The sequence below is a fragment of the Homo sapiens genome, chromosome 13 (assembly GCF_000001405.40).
Source record: "Homo sapiens chromosome 13, GRCh38.p14 Primary Assembly".
NCBI classification, from domain to species: Eukaryota; Metazoa; Chordata; class Mammalia; order Primates; family Hominidae; genus Homo; species Homo sapiens.
The window spans coordinates 27,450,939-27,472,554 of record NC_000013.11 but is presented as its reverse complement, the minus strand read 5'-3'; the positions used below and the strand labels follow the sequence as shown (position 1 = coordinate 27,472,554).

General features: G+C 43.4%; 3 annotated features.

Annotated features, from left to right (window-relative positions):
• Nucleotides 12,849–13,143: a silencer, noted in NCBI's record as "tiled region #13742; HepG2 Repressive DNase unmatched - State 25:Art, and K562 Repressive DNase matched - State 25:Art". NCBI's record gives its function as "represses a minimal TATA promoter and a strong SV40 promoter by Sharpr-MPRA in HepG2 and K562 cells {active_cell/tissue: HepG2 | K562}" and the evidence as "EXISTENCE:reporter gene assay evidence [ECO:0000049][PMID:27701403]".
• Nucleotides 16,783–16,902: an enhancer, noted in NCBI's record as "active region_7507". NCBI's record gives its function as "activates an Ori minimal core promoter by ATAC-STARR-seq in GM12878 lymphoblastoid cells {active_cell/tissue: GM12878}" and the evidence as "EXISTENCE:reporter gene assay evidence [ECO:0000049][PMID:35858748]".
• Nucleotides 21,557–21,616: an enhancer, noted in NCBI's record as "active region_7506". NCBI's record gives its function as "activates an Ori minimal core promoter by ATAC-STARR-seq in GM12878 lymphoblastoid cells {active_cell/tissue: GM12878}" and the evidence as "EXISTENCE:reporter gene assay evidence [ECO:0000049][PMID:35858748]".

Here is a 21,616-nt window from a genome sequence, read left to right as displayed (position 1 = left end):
CTGCTCACCCTTTAACACAGATTCTGACTCCGTAGTCTGGGGATTGCAGAGCCTGAGAGTCTGCAGTTCTCATGAGCTTGTAGGGGGTGCCCATGGACCCAGAGTCCTTATGGGGGAGACGGCTCTTCCTTGAGACTCTCCTAGATGAGTCCCAGGCAATCCAGGCAGAGGGGAGGCCCTGGAGCTGCCTTGGCCATGCTGCAGAGACCATAGGGTCTGCACATTAGTACTAGCATACTGGGCATTCTCAATCAAAAAGAGAAAGGAGGCAATGGCTCACACCTGTAATTCCAGCACTTTTGGGAGGCCGAGGTGGGAGGATCACTTGAGGCCAGCAGTTTGAGACCAGCCTGGACAACACAGGGAGACCCTCATTTCTCCAAAAAGCAGAAAATTAGCCAGTCGTGGTGGCACACTCCTGTGGTCCCAGCTACTCAGGAGGCTGAGGTAGGAGGATCACTTGAGCCCAGGAGGTCAAGGCTGCAGTGAGCCATGATTACACCACTGCACTCCAACCTGGGTGACACAGTGAGACCCTGTCTCAAAAAAAAAAAGAAAGAAAGAAAAGAAAAGAAAAATAAATCTCAAAGGATTTAAGGAAATGGATGTGTTTTCAAGGCTAAAATAAAGCAATTTTGGAGGAAGTTCTACCTTCTAAGCATCTTTAAAGGTAACCCATTCAACTATTTAAAAAAAGCAAAAACAGAATCCCATTGGTTTCTGGTCTTTTTTTGTTACCCCTCCCAGGAGAAGAAACTGAAGACAAGATTCCTGGCCCCCTTTTCCAGTTCTCCTGCGGTGCTTCCATCACACTGAGGGTGATGAACAATCTGTATCCAGACAGACCACTCTCAGTCCCTGGTTAGCAGGAGGGGTGGCTACTGGGCTGAATTCAGATCTGTGTGATTCCACAGAGTAGGACCGCCTTCCTTCTAAGGCCAACTGTCCTGTCTTCTTTCCTGCAACCTTTACTCGTTTTATTTTGTTTGTTTGTTTGTTTGTTTGTTTGTTCAAGACAGGTTTGTTCTCTCACCTAGGCTGAAGTGCAGTGTTGCAATCACAGCTTACACTACAGCCTTGACCTCCTAGACTCAAGTGATCCTCCCACCTCAGTCTCCCAAATAGCTGGTTCACAGGCGCATACCACCATGCCCGGCTAAGTTTTAAAGATTATCTGTAGAGATGGAGTATCCCTATGTTGCCCAGGCTAGTCTCAAACTCCTGCCCACAAGCAATTATTCCACCTCAGCCTCCCAAAGTGCTAGGATTACAGATGTGAGCCACCATGCTCAGCTTGCAACATTTACTCTTTTGTTGATTTATTATTTTGAAAACTTCCATATATAATACATATATAAAAACAAATAACAGGCCGGGCACAGTGGCTCACACCTGTAACCCCAGCACTTTGGGAGGCCGAGGCGGGTGGATCACTTGAAGTCAGGAGTTCAAGACCAGCCTGGCCAACATGGTGAAACCCCATCTCTACTAAAAATACAAAAATTAGCCGGGCATGGTGGCGCATGTCTGTAATCCCAGCTACTTGGGATGCTGAGGCACAAAAATCACTTGAACCCGGGAGGCAGAGGTTGCAGTGAGCTGAGACTGTGCCACACTCCAGCCTGGGAGACAGAGCACGACTCCATCTCAAAAAAAAAAGAAAGAAAGAAAAGAAAAAAAAAGAAACAAATTAAATAACAAACAGATGATTCCAACCAATTCCTTAAAAAATTAAAGTGATGATTAATTATAATTGAACTCCATGCTATTTTTTAATAGACTTTATTTTTTTAGAGCAGTTTTAAGTTCATAGCAAAATTGTACAGAGTTCCCATATAGCATTGACCCCATTGACTCACAGCCTTCCTTACTATCAACATCTTGCACAGAGTGGTGCATTTATTACAATCCATGAACCTACACTGACACATTATCATCCAAAGTCCATAGTTTACATTAGGGTTCACTCTTGGTGTTGCATGTTATGCATTCTGACAAATACATTACATATGTGTCTACCATTATCGTGTCCTACAGAACAGTTTTACTTCAGTAAAAATTCCCTGAGCTCTGCCTATTCATCCCTCCCTTCTCCTTAACCCTAGGCAACCACTGATCCTTTTACTGCCTCCATAGTTTTGCCTTTTCCAGAATGTTATATAGTAGGAAATCAACCCCACGCTACTTTGTTAACTAGTTTTCCTTACTCATGTAAGCCAGGAACCAAAATGAAATTGGCAGATCCAAGCTGGCCTGATGTTGGGACAGTTGCTCATTCTCTTTACGCTTCAGTTTCCTTATCCATAAAACAAAAGGGGTGGAGAGCTGAACTTTGACGTGCCTCAGCACTCAAGGTTGGTAGAAATTAGTTTAACTCTACAAGTCCCTTGAAGGCAGGACCGGTAACATTCTTCTAATCCCAGCTGCCAAAACAGGATTTGAAACATAGTGGGTGCTCAGTAACTGAATAGTGAATGAATTTTATTTACATTTTTAGTTTAATGGTCATAATTTATCCAAATATTAAAGAAATTGATATTGAAATCTATATGAATTGATACCTCCAGAGCCAAACTATAAATTTCAACATGACCCCTTATTCTAGTTGTAAAGATAAATTAGACTCTACTAAATTTCTCTACCAAAAAGTGCAAAAATTATCAAAAAAGGTACAAATGCATCACAAGAATAATCTATGTGATTAATAATTCATGTGATTAAATGTCAGAAAGATATGGATTTTGTTTAGGGGCTACTAAACCATTACCATTTTACAAATAAAGAAAACTGGATAAAACTCATCCCTGGGATTACAGACATAATTGTATAAATAAATCCCACATCACTCATGTTTCACAAAATTAAGATTCACTAAGTAAGTACTTTCCACAACCTTTATAAGTTATTTTCATAAGTTTCTAATAGGATTGGTGTACACAGTTCTTTCTTAGCCCTGCCCTAAACCATATAATGAATCTATCATAGACAACTGGTATACTTCAGGTTTGAGTATGTATTTGCATTGCCATAGGAAACAGCCCTTTCTTGGTCAGTTTTTGGAACTAGGTTCCTGAGATAAACCATCCCAGTCTTTGTCTACATGGTTATGAAACCGACCCAATCGTCCCAGAGATAGTTCTTTTGGATAAACATAGAAATGGACTTTTCTGGCTGGGCGCAGTGGCTCACACCTATAATCCCAGCACTTTGGGAGGCCGAGGTGGGAGAATTGCTTGCGCTCAAGAGTTTGAGACCAGCCTGGGCAACATGGCAAGACCTCGTCCCTACTAAAAACACACAAAAAATTAGCTGGGTGTGGTGATGTGCACCTGTGGTCCCAGCTACTCAGGAGGCTGAGGGCGGAAGATAACGTGAGCCCAGGGGGTGGAGGTTGCAGTGAGCCAAGGTCCTGCCACTGCACTCCAGCCTGGGTGACAGGGTGGGTCTTTAAAGCTTGAAATTTACTTTTGTTTTATCTGAGTTCCTTCCTCAGGAAAGGACCCCCAGGCCTCTCAAAAAGTATCAAAGATCTCAACCTCACCAGATCACTGCATCCAGACAATGAGAGTCAGGCCCCTCCCTAGTTCCTGTTTTCCAACACATTGTTACATTTCTTCCCTGCTATATAAACTCCTAATTTTAGTATGTCAGGGAGATGAATTTGAGACTGATCTCCCTTCTCCTCCTCGCCTACAGCACCCAATTAAAGCCTTCTTCTTTGGCAGTAATCATCGTCTCAGTCATTGGCTTTCTGTGCAGCCAGCAGCAGGCCCTAAACCAAACCCCAGGCATTTCAGTAAGTTACATTTTTTTTTTACTACTTTTTGCCATCACATTCTTACATTTTGTATTTCTTTGCTTAACATTATAACATAATGCTTCTATATTACACAGTATTCACGTTTAGAGGAGAAGGCCTCTTTACTGCCTTCCGCTGAACCAGCCACTCATGGTACCTGCCAATCTCCATGGCCTCTGCTGAGCATTCTCTCTGACAGCCCCCAGTCAGGGACACTGGAGGACCGGAGGCTGTGCTCTGGTGCACACCCTCCCCAACTTGTGCTTTCACCTATTGGACTGTCTTCTAACCAAAAGTCTGTTGTGTTTGTCCCCATACCTGTTCTTGCTATCATATTTGATTTTATAATTGCAAAATTTAATTAAATATTACATAAACCATTAAAATGTGAGTGCAAAACAAAATTATAAAGACTAAGTTGCAAATTTCAATAAAAATGAGTCACTAAAAATAAAGGCTACTGAAATGGATATAGTGAGATAACTATAAAAGCCTGGGGGGAGGGCAATCTAGGTGATTCTGCATTCATATAGATCCCCAAATGTCTTCAATTTCTTACACCATGGTAGTGTACAGATGTGATTATGCACAAGATAATGTGGAAGTCAAGGCAGCAGACTTACACTGGAAGAAAAGCTTGGGCTCTAAATTGAAAGACAGGAAAGTAAATGTAACTGTGTATTCTCGAAGTAAAAATAAATATTTAAAATATGTTTTTTTAAATCACTGGTTTCAATTTAGTTGCGCAGGAGGGATTTATTTTAAAAAGTACATCAACATTCCCATGTGTTGATGTATCATAATTTAGTAAACCTGTAATTAATTTTCACTCCATTAGATTATTTGTAAATTTTTTTTAAAATAGTACTACACTGAACACTTTTCATACTATGGTTTTTTGCTTGTTGAATAATTTTTAGGATAATGTTAGAGTAGTACAATTTCTGCTTCCAAGGATATAAATATCTTTTTAGATTTTGGTAAGTACTACCTTTTTGCTTTCCAAAAGAGTAATAGTTTCATCTTCTTAACAGTAGTCTAGTGGGTTATGTTTTGGTTATCTATTATTACATAACAATCTAACTTTATAGCTTAAAGCAACCACTGGCTGGCCAAGGTGGCTCGCACCTGTCATCCCAGTACTTTGGGAGGCCAAGGCAGGAGGATGGCTTGAGGCTAGCCTTTGTAACATAGTGAGACCTCATCTCTATTTTTAAAATAATTTTTAAAAAGCGACCACCATTCCATTAATTCTTATGTTTACAAGGATTGATCAGTGCTCAGCTCGGAAGGTTGATTCTTCTGCTGATTCTTAGGCTGGGCTCACCTGGGGCTGCTTATTCAGCTGCAGGATGAAAGCACTTGGGCATGTCCTGAGTCTCTGGCATGACATCTCCAGGCTCTGACACTGCTTCCAGCCTTCTGGTAAATAAACTGCCAAGGTAGGAATGGGAGGGAGGCAGAGAATTCAGGAGTGCGAGAAGGAAAGATTACCTTTAAGATCAAACCTTTCAGTTTACCTCTGCTCCCCTCCCACCTCACCCCCACCCTGGCTTCGTTCCACGTGAAGGAGGAGAGATGAAAACATCACAGTGCAAAAGTCAGAAGATGGACCTGAAAACCCAAGATAGCCTTATTGCATTTCAGGGGCATGGAAGCCTTTATTTATTTTAAGAACCTTGCTTTAGGATTCCAGATTCCCCTTGAAGCAGTGGGAGTAGAATGCTTCTCTGCAAGTCTTTGTCTGCGTTCATTCTGGTCCCCACATTTGAGTGTGCAATCAATAATTACTACTTTCTTTTTTAAACACGACTTCAGCAAAGCTGGAGTGTCACCAATATAAGAGGCAACTCCGAAACAAAGACTAAAATATATAAATAGCCCCTCTGAAAGCACAGCAAAGGCTGGGCTGTGACCTCCACAGAGGAATCAATATTTCAAATGAGCCTCTGTGCTCTGGGAGCACAATTCTAACCACCCGGCCTGTCTCCACCCTCCTTCTCATCAGCTTCCTCCCCACTTCCCACCTCCACACAAAAGAACAGTGCCAGAAAGCTCAGACATCACCAGATAAGATCTCTGGCAGCACTGCCACACCGTGGCTGTCAGCTGAGACCTTCTGGAAGGAATGTGACCCTCAGCAGAGGACCATGGATGGCATCAGGCCTACATTTAGGAAGTTGGCAATGTCTTCAGAATGTAACTGGAAGAGTTCCAAATGATCAACCTGTCAAAAACCATCTCCCCGGGTGCGGACCTGAAATTTTTCCTGGGTGTAGAATGCAGACAGAAGAGAAGATAAGGGCGAGTTATGGGTGGGAAGACAACATTAAAACGTGGGAGAGGAAAGACAGCCCTTTGTAGGGAGGCAATTTCAGGGGCCATCAAACGTAAACTTCACCTTCCTCTCAGCCTCATCCATCCTGGCCTCCACTGTGGTCCTGCTGAAGGCTTTCTTACAGGTCAGACTCAAGGTGCATGGTTCTTTTGTAGCAGTTCCAACATCACCAGTTTATAGAAACCCTGAACCTGCCCCCGACAGCACTTCATGTAATATTTTATCATAAAGCAATAATAATAATACTAATGTGGTATCTAACATTTAGGAGACATCCCAGCTATATGTTAAAATCACTATCTTCATTTTATAGACAAGTGAGAAACATTTGATAACCTGCCCAAGTAACAGCTAATGAATGTCCCAAGCCCAGTTTTCCCAGATAGCAAAGCCCAAGCTCTTTCCCAGGTTGTCAGGGAGCTCCTGTTCAAGAAACATGCCAACTGGAGGCAGGCCGGGAGGACCCTCAGGCCCGGGAGAGCTGCTCAGCGTCCACCCCTCTAAGAATACCATACGCACATCCTGTTGTTTGAGCTTGTCTGTTTTCCTAGGGAAGAGCAGAAGAAATGGCAGCCACTTGGCAGTGCAAGCAGGTGTCATCTAGGGCATACTGCCAAAACTTGAGCTTTCTTGAAGCAACATTCTAAGAGGAATGTTGTTTACCTCATTTTCCTCCTCATGTGCCTCAGACTCTGGACAGCAGTGATCAGAGTCGGACCATCAGTTTCAGTTGTGGATTATCACCAATACTCAGCAGAGACCTTTAGCAGTCACCCTAACTCAATCATGTTCAACCAAAGCTTTCATTATCCTAACAATGAAAGTCACAGAGCTCTTTTCCCTTTTTATTTTTTTGAGACAGGGTCTTGCTCTGTCACCCAGGCTGAAGTGCAATGGCACCATCATAGCCCACTGCAGCCTCGACCGCCTGTGCTCAAACAATCCTCCTATCTCAGCCTCCCAAAGTGCTGTGGGCTGGGCATTATCCTAATAATGAAAGCTTTGGTTGAACATGATTGAATCTGCTCTATAGATTGAGAATTTTATACCATTTATTACATAGTCTGCTTAAATATAATTTTATACAACAAACTACAGTGATAGGCGTTGTGAGATTCATTATTATATATCTCTTCGGGAAGGCTGGGTGGAAACCCTTTGCGGCCTGGACTCTTCAGTTTTCACATAGAAGTCAAAAATCCTCAGATTAAGTATTTTAGAGAGACCTGAGATCAAGAGATTAATACTCTCTTACATTTGTGTATTCCTTTATAGTTTTCAAAAGAGTTTATCTTTTTGACGGTTGCAATTCTGTGACATTATTATCTTATTTTACGGATGAAAAAGCAAGGGACCAGACCCTCAAAATTACTTGCTCAAGGACCCACGGCAGGTAAAAATATGGAGTTGGGAAATAAATCCAGGTCCTCTGACTCCCACTATGGAGTTCTTTCCTCCACACTAGACACAATTTTGAGAATGAAAGAAATACTGGTATAAATATTCCTTCATGGTAGGTGATTTCCATGATCACCTTTCTAACAGTATTTTTGAGATGTCAAGGAAGTTCTGGGATTATACTCACTAAGAAATACCTAGGTATATATTCAGTTGAATAAGAATATATTATTATTATTACACAGATAACTAGGACACTATTATTTTAGCTACCGTTTATAGAGCAGTAGCTAAGAGCATAGACTCTGGAGACAGATTCCCTAAATCCTGATCCCAGCTCTGCCACCTATTAGTTGGGTGACCTTGGACAAGTTACTTAATCTTTCTGGCCTCAGTTTCCTTACCAATGAAAGGATACATAATAAAAACAATATTACTAAATTATAGATCTTTTAATGAGAACTAAATGAGTCAGTATATGTAAAGTGCTTGGAAAACTGACTGGCACACATGGTAAATCCTGTATGCATTGTGTGTGCAGGGATGTGTAATGTTATTTATTTATTTATTTATTTATTTATTTATTTATTTATTTTTAGTTTTGAGACGGAGTCTCGCTCTGTCGCCCAGGCTGGAGTGCAGTGGCGCGATCTCGGCTTACTGCACGCTCCGCCTCCCGGTTCACGCCATTCTCCTGCCTCAGCCTCCTAAGTAGCTGGGACTACAGGCGCCCGCCACCATGCCCGGCTAATTATTTGTATTTTTTTTAGTAGAGACGGGGTTTCACCGTGTTAGCCAGGATGGTCTCGATCTCCCGACCTTGTGATTCGCCTGCTTCAGCCTCCCAAAGTGCTGGGATTACAGGCGTCAGCCACCACACCCGGCCCATGTTATTTATTAATATATGTCCTGAAGCCATTCTGCTTTTAGGCTGGGGCTAAGTGGGATCTGTAGGAGGCCTTAATTTAGAGCGGGACTCCTGGGTGTTGAGGCCATTTTCTGATCCAGAATTCTCTTTCCCACAAACAAGACAGAATTCCTCCATCAGAAAGACCAGAGAGATAGTGCCCCTGAAAAGGCATGTCAGGAATGGCCTGACCTAGCCCTTGTCTTAGAGGCAGGACAAGGCCAAAGGGGGAGTGGACATGGGGGAGCCCTGCAGGTGGGGAAAGGCCAGGCAGTTCCTGCTGGCTGAGCACCCTAATCTGCTGCAGCTCACTTCCCTCCAATGTGTACACGTTGCTGGGTCACAGGAGGTGTGAGGCTGTGACGGTATCATTTCCAAGAAGATGCTGAAGCTGAAAATTAGCTGGCCAGCAAATGTAGCACAGAGTATACAATGCTACCACCCAGAGCACCACGTGGTTCTGGGCCGCCTGTGGCTCCAACCACAGGCTGCTGGGCTCAGAGGGCTGCTTCCCCGGGTTGATGGAACCCTGCTGTCCCCTGTCCCAGGGCCTTTTGCTAACTGTTGGTTCCAGCTGACGAGTCCTTTCTGTTGGCAGCTCCTCTCCTGCACAGATTTCTCATTTGTAGCTTTCCTACGGCTGTGTGTGCTGCCTCCTCAGGAAAGCCATGGGTCATTTGTCACGGAATTAGGGACAAAAGTCACCAAATCATTTTGCTTCTTTCCTCAGAAGCCTAATTCCCATTTAGTACAGTATCTTACAGGCAAGTAAGAATTATTCAGTAGCAGCACATGCACCCCCACACCCTAAACTAGAGAGACAGGACATTCACTGAAGAGTCGAATGGAAGAAAAGAAATTCTAGAGGATTCTAGGACAAACTTCCAGACCCAGCTTCTACAGAGCACCTCAGACACTCCGACACTTTACTTAGGAGTAATTTGTATAGAAAGTGCTAGCTCGGCCGGGCGCAGTGGCTCATGCCTGTAATCCCAACACTTTGGGAGGCCGAGGCGGGCGGATCACGTGGTCAGAAGATCCAGACCATCCTGGCTAAGATGGTGAAGCCCCGTCTCTACTAAAAATACAAAAAATTAGCTGGGCGTGGTGGCGGGCGCCTGTAGTCCCAGCTACTCGGGAGGCTGAGGCAGGAGAATGGCGTGAACCTGGGAGGCGGAGCTTGCAATGAGCCGAGATAGCACCACTGCACTTCCAGCCTGGGCGACAGAGCAGACTCCGTCTCAAAAAAAAAAAAAAAAAAAAAAAAAAAAAGAAAGTGCTAGCTCTAGTCCAGCCCCTCTCATGAGAATATTTTAGACAATTGTCAGTAAAAAACAGAAATCTGTATTCTTGTGAAATAGTAAGCTTTATTGTGTGTGTTAACAAATAAAACAAATTCCATTTGCACACTGACTGAATTTATAAAATCTCTCTCACCAAAACGGATATACAATCTAATGCAATATTAGCTATGTTTTCATTTTCATTTTCTGTAATATTATATCAGCAGTAAGCAAAATAAAGTTATGACATCTTTTGAAAATAAATGTCGTGAGAATTGACTGTTTTTCTAATTGCTAAGGCCAAAGTATAAAATCTGAGCACCCTCAATCCTGTGGGATATGGACTCGCTGGGGAAAACACACAGCAGATGAGCCAGCCAAAGCCTGACTCCGAATCCAGCAGGCTGCCATGTGGCTCCGCAGACCTCTCCACATGCTTAGAATTCTCTACTGCCCTGTGTTTTGTCTTTGAGTTTGTTACATAACAGTGCTAATGTTTCTCAGCCCCAGTTTTGTCCTTCTGTCCACACTTACTGCCTTTGCCTGGGAAAGTGGTTCTCACCCTGTAGGAGCAGACACACACACACGCACACGCATGCACACGCACATGGCAAAGCTCATGTGTGGGCCCTCCTGCCACGCTCCAGGTGTCCAGGAAGCAATCGAAGGTCTCGCCTAACCAGGTTTGGGGTAAGATGCAGCTCCTGTGATGCGAACTGTCACTCAGCACTTCTCTCACCCATTAAAGCAGCAAGTGGGCCAGGCACCGTGGTGCACTTCTATAATCCCAGTGCTTTGGGAGGGTGAGGTGGAAGGATGGCTTCAGCCCAGGAGTTTGAGACCAGCCTGGGCAACATAGTGAGACCTCTTCTCTACAAAAAAAAAATTAAAAATAAAAAATTAGCAGGACTTAGTGGCATGCACCTGTAGTTCCAGCTATCGGGAGGCTGAGGCAGGAAGATTGCTTGAGCCCAGGAGGTCAAAGCTGCAGTGAGCTATGATTGCACCACTGCACTCCAGCCTGGGCAACAGAGCAAAACCCTGTCTCTAAAAATATAAAAAAAGAAAAAAAGAAGTAAACGAGAGGCCAACTACAGACAGAATAACTTTAAATCCATTCTAATTTGCAAAATCAGGTAAAATCAGTGGCAACTTCTATGACTGAAACTATTATTAACACAAATGACACACACACACCAGTGTGTCATGACATGATGGTTGAGTGTGAAAGGAGGCGTGATGAATTGCCAGTGATTATAGATTATAACCTTTAAGTGATGCATCATCGTGAGGCACACATTTTTTTCATTAGCCCACATTATTCAGTTACATGCTCTCCTAGTAATAATTTGAAGTTGCAGTTATAATTACTAAAGTAAATCCATTTTATGGTGTCTGTTTTTTACTGTGAGTGTTAATACCAAAACATTTGTCCAAGTCGGTCATAAAATCTGCCTATTATATACAGAAAATGAAAGACGTGGTTAGACTGGATTTTCTTTTCTTTTCTTTTCTTTTTTTTTGAGATAGAGTCTTGCTCTGTTGCCCAGGCTGGAGTGCAGGGGCGCAATCTCGGCTCACCGCAAGCTCCTCCTCCCGGGTTCACGCCATTCTCCTGCCTCAGCCTCCCAAGTAGCTGGGACTACAGGCGCCCGCCACCACGCCCAGCTAATTTTTGTGTATTTTTAGTAGAGATGGGGTTTCACCGTGTTAGCCAGGATGATCTCGATCTCCTTACCTCGTGATCCACCCATCTCGGCCTCCCAAAGTGCTGAGATTACAGGCGGGAGCCACTGTGCCCAGCCTGGATTTTCTTTTTTGAGACAGTCTCGCTGTGTCACCCAGGCTGGAGTGCAGTGGCACGATCTCGCTCACTGCAACCTCCGCCTCCCAGCTTCAAGCGATTCTACTGCCTCAGCCTCTGGAGTAACTGGGACCACAGGCACACGCCAGCACACCCGGCTAATTTTTGTATTTTTAGTAGAGACGGGGTTTTACCATATTGGCCAGGCTGGTCTTGAACTCTTGCCCTCAAGTGATCTGCCCACTTCAGCCTTCCAAAATGCTGGGATTACAGGAGTGAGCCACCACGCCCAGTCTAGACTGGATTTTCTAACACACTGTGAGCCAGATCTGATCTTCCTGATTTGGATGTAGAAAGCTCAACCAGAGTTACACATATGTGATCATTTAATAACCCTTTTGACAATTATTATGATTATATTGAATGTAGGTTGCAGATTATTGAGTCTATAATATAGTAACTAATGCAAGCAAATCCAAAGACCTCACTGTTTCTCCTTTATGAGACACAGACTTTCTCTATGACTTTTTCATAAATTATTTAGACTTTCTGTGCTTCTAATTCAGTTATTATATGTTACTACAGTCATAAACATGACACTTAACACAGAAGTTTATTTCAACAAAAACCCCTATTATCTCAGCAGAGCTTCCCATGATGATTTAGAAAGTTTCCTCTTTTAACACTGCAGTAAAACACCTAGTGGCATCTATGCAGTACTCTCAACTCAGCCAGAAAAACAAGAGGAAGCCTCTAAAAGACACAAAGACCTACGCCAAAGCTTGTATACTCTACTCAGAGACAGCCTGTTCTCTTTTTTTTTTTTTTTTTTTTTTTGAGACGGAGTCTCACTGTGTCGCCCAAGCTGGAGTGCAGGGTCGCGATCTCGGCTCATTGCAAGCTCCGCCTCCCGCGTTCACGCCATTCTCCCGCCTCAGCCTCCGGAGTAGCTGGGACTACAGGCGCCCGCCACCGCGCCTGGCTAATTTTTTGTATTTTCAGTAGAGACAGGGTTTCACTGTGTTAGCCAGGATGGTCTCGATCTCCTGACCTCATGATCCGCCCGCCTCAGCCTCCCAAAGTGTTGGGATTACAGGCGTGAGCCACCGCACCCGGCCTATTTATCTATTTATTAACTTTGAGTCCAGGATATGGAACCAGTTAGTTTTTGTATTTTTTTAGAGACGAGGTTTCACCATGTTGCCAAGGCTTGGATCGAGGGATCCACCTGCCCTTGGCCTCCCAAAGTGCGGGGATGACAGGCGTGAGCCTACCGCACCCGGCTTCCCCCCCAACCCACCACTTGTCTTCCCGACAGTTTCACGGCAGACTGTTTGGCTGGCTTGCTTAAATTCATTCTAAATAGAAATTTAGGATGTCAGCTTCTGGCCTCATGGACTCTGAGCTGAGGAGTCCCCTGGTCTGTCTATCACAGGACCGTAGACGTATGGAGTAGAAAAATCAGCCTCCCAAGTAGCTGGGACTACAGGCGCCGGCCACCACGCCCAGCTAATTTTTTGTATTTTTAGTAGAGACGGAGTTTCACCATGGTAGCCAGGATGGTCTTGATCTCCTGACCTTGTGATCCGCCCGCCTCAGCCTCCCAAAGTGCTGGGATTACAGGCGTGAGCCACGGTGCCTGGCCAGCCTGTTCTCTCTTATCCAGAGACCATTCGAAAGTCTTTGTTGTGTATTTTATAGTCCACAACTGTTCAACAAATGCTTAGTGTACACTAAGGATACACAGACGAGCAGGCCAGCTGCTGCAGACAACACACAAATTAGTAAAGGTGTCGCCCTGCCTTCAAGGAGCTGACGATGTCAAGGGTGGGATATGTCAAGTATACAAGTAACTATGTTGAGAGACAGAGAAAAAGAAATGCCACAGGATGGGCAAACAAAATGGCGGAGGTCCAAAAAAAGGAGAGAAGCATCCCGCTGGGCTAAGGGAAGGCTTCATGGAGAGGTGGTATTGGGTGAGGGCAGGAAGACTGCATTCCAGGCAGAAGGGAGGGCACACACAGCCACAAAGACAGAAAAGTACCAAACACAGTTAGGGAACAGCAAGCAGTCATTTGGGTGGTCAACAGGGTTGGGTGAAGAGAGAGTTAAAGCTGGAGAGGTGTGGTTGCCATGAACAGAAAGTTGTAAAAAAAAACAAATCCACCTAGGAGTTATCTACAGACAGAAAACAAAGACCAGTAGACCCCACTGAAACTGGAATTAGAAAGGTAGAAAGGAAGTCTCCTTCCCCGATTTCTCATGAGGCCCCTCTTTGTGCATGGTTCTTTGTCCATGTCTATTTCATTCTCCTCTCTGCGGACCAACTCATCTGCTTGAAGAACTCCAGCACGCACAAGGCATTGGCTTGTATCGTGAAAGAAACAACTTTATAAGACTTTTTAGTTCAAGTACTATGTTGGTTAGGAGTAAGTTCAACTGCAGTATAAGAGCGTGTTTCTCTCTCACATTCAAGAAATTCAGAGGTAATGAGCCTCTGGCTGGTGTGATGTGCCATGGTGTGAGCCCCCAGGCGCCTTCCATCTCTCTGCACTCCTGTGCAGGATTTCCATTCCATGATCCCTTATAAAAAGCAAATTCAAAGACCATGATGGGATGCTCCAGGATGACTTCGAAGCTCCGCTGTTGCGTCTGCTTTCCAGCCAGCAGAAAGGAGGAAGAGGGGAAGAGGACTCCCTGGAAGCTGCACATACCATGCCTGTTTATTTAAGGTGACCATATAATATGTCATCTAAACTGAAATCCTTGTGTGGATAACAGGCATAAAGTAGGATTTACCATTATCTGCCTCATATAAATTGCTGGCCAGAGCTTGGTCCCATGATCACACCTTTCTGTAAGAAAGGCTGAACATACTGTTTTTATTCTGGGCAGCCATGTGTGCATAAAACCTGGGAAAGAGGAAGATGGCTATTGGACTAGGATCTCTGCCACAAGTACCCTTTGACACCCCCCCAAGCCCTCTGACAACACTAATTTCCCAGAGCAAATTCGCAAGCTGTCATAGTCTGTGAACTAGTTTCCTATAGGCCAGGCTTCTATCCCAGTCTCATCACAATGTACAAGAGGAGGAGGTGGGACACAGGACATTTAGGTGCAAGGTGCCCCTTTCAGAGGCTGTGTGCAGGAACAGAGACTCTTAGAAAAAGGCCTGAGTGTTGTAGTGAAATTGACTTGTTTCACTACAACAGCTAAAGATCTGTTGCAGACAGCAATCAATACTAGAGTGGAAAATCACAATCCAATAGGGCAGGCAGGCCGTGGAAAACCACCAAAGTTTTGTTTTTTGTTTTTTTTTTCAAGGAGATAGTATGCATGAAGCTTTACTAAGACAAAGTTATCCTGGCAGTGGCGTGGGGGCTGATTTGGATCAAGGCAAGATGGAAAGCTGGAAGACTCTTTGGGCAATACCTGTATCAGGCCAGGTGAGACTGAATTTGACTTTGAGTAGAACGTTAGAAGGGGAGGAGAACTATTAAAACTGGGTAGGCAGTTATAGCAACAAGAAGGGCCAGATGACAGCCTAATGGCAAGGGAGGGGTAGGAAAATCTATAAAAAGCAGAATTTCAAATTCAGAAACCATGATGGTTTGGCCATGTAGTTAGTGGCACTTAATACACGTATGAAGTGTTGTATGTCACCATATCATAATGTACAATCATGATACTCCCAGTTCTTTTTTTTTTTTTTTTTTTTGAGATGGAGTTTCGCTCTGTTGCCCAGGCTGGAGTGCAGTGGCACAATCTCGGCTCACCGCAACCTCCGCCTCCCAGGTTCATGCCATTCTCCTGCCTCAGCCTCCTGAGTAGCTGGGGCTACAGGCATGCGCCACCAGGTCTGGCTAATTTTTTGGTATTTTTAGTAGAGATGGGGTTTCACCATGTTGGTCAGGCTGGGCTTGAACTTCTGACCTCAAATGATCTGCCTGCCTCGGCCTCTCAAATTGCTGGGATTACAGGCATTGAGCCATCATGCCTGGACTGATACTCCTAGTTCTTAAAAAATATCATACCATACTTCAGAAAGCAAGAATGTTTGTAATACATTATATAAAATACTTTCATTCATAATGGTAAAAATATAGAAGTTTGTATTGATTTGAGAGGTAAGCTTAGGGTATCTGGAAGATTGCCTTATATAAAACATCTTATTTCCCAAATAATACTTAAATGAGTCCTCACCATACCTGAAACAAACACATTTTCAAATGCAGATTATAGTTCAGCACTTAGATGTGTAGATTACATTTTCCTTGCTGACCGTCAGGTAGAAACATGGCTCTGAAAACCCAAGTTCAGCATTTGAAAATCTCAGCTAAATAAATGATTAAACTCATTCAAAAGCTAAGCCTCGTATTTATCAGAGAAATGCAGCTGAAAAACACATAAGGCCTTAGTATGATGCGCGACACTGAGTATCAGTCCTAGGTAATCATACATTTCCAGTTGAAGCGCTAGAATTTACATGACTCTCTTTTGAAAGCCCAATTTCCGTAACAGTTCAGTTCTTGAACAGAAACTGCAGAGTAACAGAATTTTAAGAGCGGGCATAAAGGACATACGCAGAAATCTATGGCTATCTTTCTTTGCTTACATAGAAATGCAATAAACAACTAGTCCTGCCCAGTATTATGTTCTAAATTTGAAGAAATGCACCTACAGAGAAGGCCGCTTTGATAATTTTGAATAACTGGGAAAAGTTTACTAGGATGGCCGAGAGAAAAATTCACACAAAGAATCTTCTAGAAGTTGGAGCTCTGCATCTGACTGCTGGAGCGTTCCTCCATTTCCAATAGAGGTTTTTTTTTCACAGATTATTTTTGACTTAGCCAAGCAGGGAGCCTATTTCAAAGCTCCCAATTTGGAAATCATGGAAGCTTTATGAAGTTTTCCACCTGCATCTCTTTTTAGGAACACAGTTCTTTATTCTCTAAGGGATGAAAACCTTTAGCATATAAAAACTTTGTTAAGCTGTCACTATCAATAGGGGGAAAAAAATAACAGTGGACAAAGAAGAAACAAATTGCATCTTCGAATAAGTTTTCTTGAAGCTCTTGTTAAAAGCTATAACCTCTGATGTTAACTAAATTTAACCCATTCTGACCCTCGTGGCGGCCCTTAACCTCTTCTTTCTTCTGTTTCCTGTGGCTGCTGGAGAGAACTAGCCCAGTTATTGGAAAAGCGTTCTCTGTAGCACACAAAGGCCCAGCCTTCCTGCTACCCCATCAGGAGGCCCCGAGTCGACCGAGGGGTCAGCACCTGTGCCGAGAAGCAGGTGACAGTGAACTGCCTGCATCCTTCTTGGGCAAGTTTGTAAGAGTGTCTACCCTTCAAATATCACACTGCAGTTTCAGGCATTCAAGCCACTGAAGTTTAGATTTTCTTTGTGAATGCAGACTTTACACAAATTAATCTATTGCTGTTCAACTGACTGTAAAATTAGTAGATTTACTGTTGCAAAAAAAAAAAAAAAGAAAAACTAAGAGCTTTCACTTTCACTTTGGTAAGGTCATGGATGTGTCCTAGGCTGCTAACAAAGCAGGCTTTAAAAATCTTTGCAGCAGAACCTAGCAACTTGCAAGGTGAAAAAGCAGCAAAACAATGACTCCAATGTACAGTTGAAAGTCTACTTCCCTATACAGTAAACATCTGAAATTCCACATTTGAGGAACTTTCAAAAATGGAATAATTTGCCTTTAATTCCATTTGCCTCAAAGATGGGAAACTGTGAGAGCACAAATTTATTTTATCACAAACATTCTATTTGCTGTCAGTCCTCCCCTCCTTAAACAGCCTTGTAACTACGTCTCACATAGGTGTTTAAAAATAGTATAGGGTTGCATTCTTTTTTTTTTTTGTTTTGAGATGGAGTCTCCCTCTGTCATCCAGGCTGGAGTGCAGTGGCGCAATCTTGGCTCACTGCAACCTCCGCCTCCCTGGTTCAAGGGATTCTCCTGCCTCCGCCTCTCAAGTAGCTGGGACTACAGGCACACACCACCATGCCCAGCTAATCTTTTTTCTTTTTTTTTTTTTTTTTTGTATTTTTAGTAGAGATGGGGTTTCGTCATGTTGGCCACGCTGGTCTTGAACTCCTGACCTCATGATCTGCTTGCCTCGGTCTCCCAAAGTCCTGGGGTTACAGGCATGAGACACTGTGCCCGGCTGGGTTGCATTCTAAATGTAAAATGCTAACTAATCATTTGGTACTGTTTTGCTTTATCTACACAACAGTCAGCATGGTACACTTTGTACTAGCTCTTTGTTGTTCTGCATGATGTCCTATGATGGTAATAGAAATTATTTTCATTGTTTCAAAACGATCAAAGTTAACTGAATCACCTCAAAACTCAACACCTCTGAAATGGAAAGACATGTCTCTGTTGTGTTCCAAATGAAACTTCTGAACCTATTTTCTGCTTCTGCAGTTGCACAAGAGACTTTTCACAGAAGTGGATCTTCCATATACAAATATTTTTATTTGGCAGATATGAAAGTTTTTAAAACTTTATTACAATATGTCATTCATTTTAGACATTTTGCTGATTCACAACCACCACGTTTTAATAACTGAGGCCATCATATTCTGACAAGAGAAATGATTAATCTGGAGTCTAATGTTATGGGAAATCTCACTCATGGTAAGGAAATTTATTTTGAATCTAGCAAATAGTTTGAGAGCACACAAAGGGTTATAACACAGATGTGGTCACCAGATGTTCTCCAGCTCTACTGCAGAACCAGACTAAGTAGCAACATGATGGATTTAGGTTATGTAAAGGAAAAGACTCCCGTCTTATAAAACATTGAAATGAGAAGCTAAATCTCCTGGCCTCGAGTTTTGTTTTGGCTTGTTTTAAATATAGAGATGTTTTACATGTTTGGAATGGATTAATTATAGTCCTGCCTGAGGAAAATGGTAGAGATTTCATAAGAAGGCTTTCGGCTTTAATAGTTTCTAACAGACAATAATAGACACACAATATTGGGCTGACAGTATCTTCAGGAAGCTTTGAACGAGTTACCTAACACTCAGCCAAAGCCTCTTGCATGCCTTGTTTCTATGACTCTTGACAAGTCTGTAAACATCAACTAAGGAGAGCATGGACCCTTTTGGCTATTAAACTGGCCTTGTAATGACAGAGTTGCTGCTGTTTAAGATAACTGCTCTCAGCTACATTTAGTTGGCACTACATAGGATCTCACACATAATAGACTTAAATTCCCCCAATTTTAGCAAAACTGCCCAGGTAAGAGTTTATAATCTGGAGAGGGAGGAGTATCTAATCTATGAACAATTATTTGTTAAAGAATATGCTGAATATCTGAACCCACATGGGCTTTAAAGTTTGAAGATGCTTCGTATCTTCAAAATAAACCCAAGATTTTGACTGGGCATGGTGGCTCATGCCTGTAATCCCAGCACTTTTTGGGGCCGAGGCAGGTGGATTACCTGAGGTCAGGAGTTCGAGACCAGCCTGGCCAACATGGTGAAATCCCGTCTGTACTAAAAATATAAAAACTAGCCAGGCGTGGTAGTGGGTGCCTATAATCCCAGCTACTTGGGAGGCTGAGGCAGGAGAACTGCTTGAATCCAGGAGGCGGAGGTTGCAGAGCCGACACGGTGCCACTGCACTCCAGCCTCGGCAGCAGAGTGAGACTCCGTCTCAAAAAACAAACAAACAAAACAAAAAAACAACCACCACCAGGATTTTTATTAGTATTAGATTTTTAAATGAATTGTTAGTCATTGTGGCATTATAAAGACGCAGCCCAGTGTTCATAACTTTTTAAAGAAATCACCCACAGACTGATTCTTTTGTGGATCAGATATGTTGTACCTCAATGACCTTGGGCTAAGCAAGTAAATCTCACATACAATCCTGTTTTGGAAGGTCCCCTCGGCGTTGGGGAAAAGTGGGAGGACTTGGAAAGCTAACAGGCAAAGAGAGGGACGGGATATTTCCATTATTCCTTCATCAGAGCAAATCACCAATATATTCATTGAAAGAGAAAGTTCATGGGCATGCTATGGAAATTAACGTAGAAATTACTATGTAATAGAAAATATAGGCATTTTTAGAGTCACCATGATTTGAGTCTTATTGAGTTACATTTTTTGAGGGGGTTAAATTATATGTAGAAACGATAACAATTGGGAAAGCTCTACACATGTCTCAGAGTCCTCTTCTATGTACATAACGGAGTAGTTTATTAAAGATCTGTGGCATAGTAATAGCATTTCCCCAAACCTCTTCATCTTTATTCAAGGATCTTCAAAGTCTGCCCCCACCAAGCACAGCTCAAGGCTCTCAATGACTCTTTAAAAGCTTCCAAGTGGCCGGGCGTGGTGGCTCACACCCGTAATCCTACCACTTTGGGAGGCCGAGTGGGGTGGATCACCTGAGGTCAGGAGTTCGAGATCAGACTGGCCAATATGGTGAAACCCCGTCTCTACTAAAAATACAAAAATTAGCCCGACCCAGTGGCACGCGCCTATAATCCCAGCTACTCGGGAGGCTGAGGCAGGAGAATCGCTTGAACCCGCGAGGTGGAGGTTGCAGTGAGCCGAGATCGCGCCACTGCACTCCAGCCTGGGCGACACAGAGAGACTCCATCTCCAAAAACAAAACAAAACAAAACAAAACAAAAAAACAAAAAACCCCACAAAAGCTGCCAAGCTCCATTTCGGCTGGAGGTCAAAGAAGAGTTCAAGGGAAAAGATGAAAAAAATGGCTTCTCTCCATCTGTGGGCATGTCTGTAATTGCCACCCCATCTCTGCATGTCTCCTCCCAGGAACACTAAAGCACCATCTTCTAGGCGTGGAGACATCTGACAATGGAAGTCTAGAAAGCTTCCTAAACCACCTGCTCTGGACACAGCTGCCTTCAAAGACGGACTGCAAATGGATGCTGGCCGGTAGCTTCAGTTACCAGTGATTACTTGGTGTGAATCTACCTGTGCTATTACCTTAGCAAATTTTAAGTCTTTAGTTTGGGCATTAAATGTTTCAGTTACTTGTACATACTTCACATCCTTTTAATGTTTTCATGGACTCGTACTGTTTACTGTTTCTCTCACTACTTCAGTCTAGCAATGCAAGGAACATTTAAAGTTTGCCTGGGTTTGGGGTTTTTTGGCTTTTTTATTCTTGATTCTGCTACTAGTTGTGCGACCTTGGGCAAATTTGTTTCAGTTCCCTCATCTGTAAAATGGGTAATAATAATAATTGGCTCATAAGGTTGTCCTGAAGATTGAATAACTTGAGATATGTTCAGTGCGTAGAACAGTGTCTGGCACATAGGCAAAAGCAATCACAAATGTGGGCAATTATAATTGCTGAGCACCTAACTTTTCCCAGGTATTGTGCTACTCAGTCTGTCCCCGAATCTACGTCACACAAAATATCTTGGCATTGAGAAATAATTTTGATAGAATAAAATGAATCCTTAATTCTTCTTGATTAACTTGGAAATGGCCAAGATGCACACCTGGACTTTCGGTCTCACACAAGAGTTGTTTCATTACCTCCCTATTTTAACAGTGAGCGTCGAGCTACCAGCAGCTAAAAAGGAAATGGAGATTTCGTCTTTGCTCCCAAAGAACTATTTAAAGCTTTAGTAGTTGTGTCATCTGTAATAAAAGACGTAATGCTGACTCAAGGAGTTAATGAGAAATAAGACAACGCCTTCCAGTGGACAAGTAGCCAATAAATGTTAGTTTTTCTTCGTACCAGGAATCCAAACATTCCAGGTATGAAGCCAGATTAGGTGGCTTCACGACTGTGGACTCGCAGTCTGCCCTTGAGGAATTTCTTATTGAAGAAGAAAAAGAGGGGGGACACGGGGCCCAGACCCCCAGCACCCGGCTTTCGAGCAGGCTCCACGGGTCCGGGTCCGGGTCCGTTTTCCCTTTCGCCAGCTGGGGCCCCGTTCGAACCTCTCCCAACTACAACGCGGAGGCTCCGACGCCCCGGCCCCAGCTTTGTTTTGCCTCCGGGAGCCGCGCGCCACCGGGGACCCGCGGGGAGCCGTTCTCACTCCGAAGCTGTCTGCTCACCTGCAAATC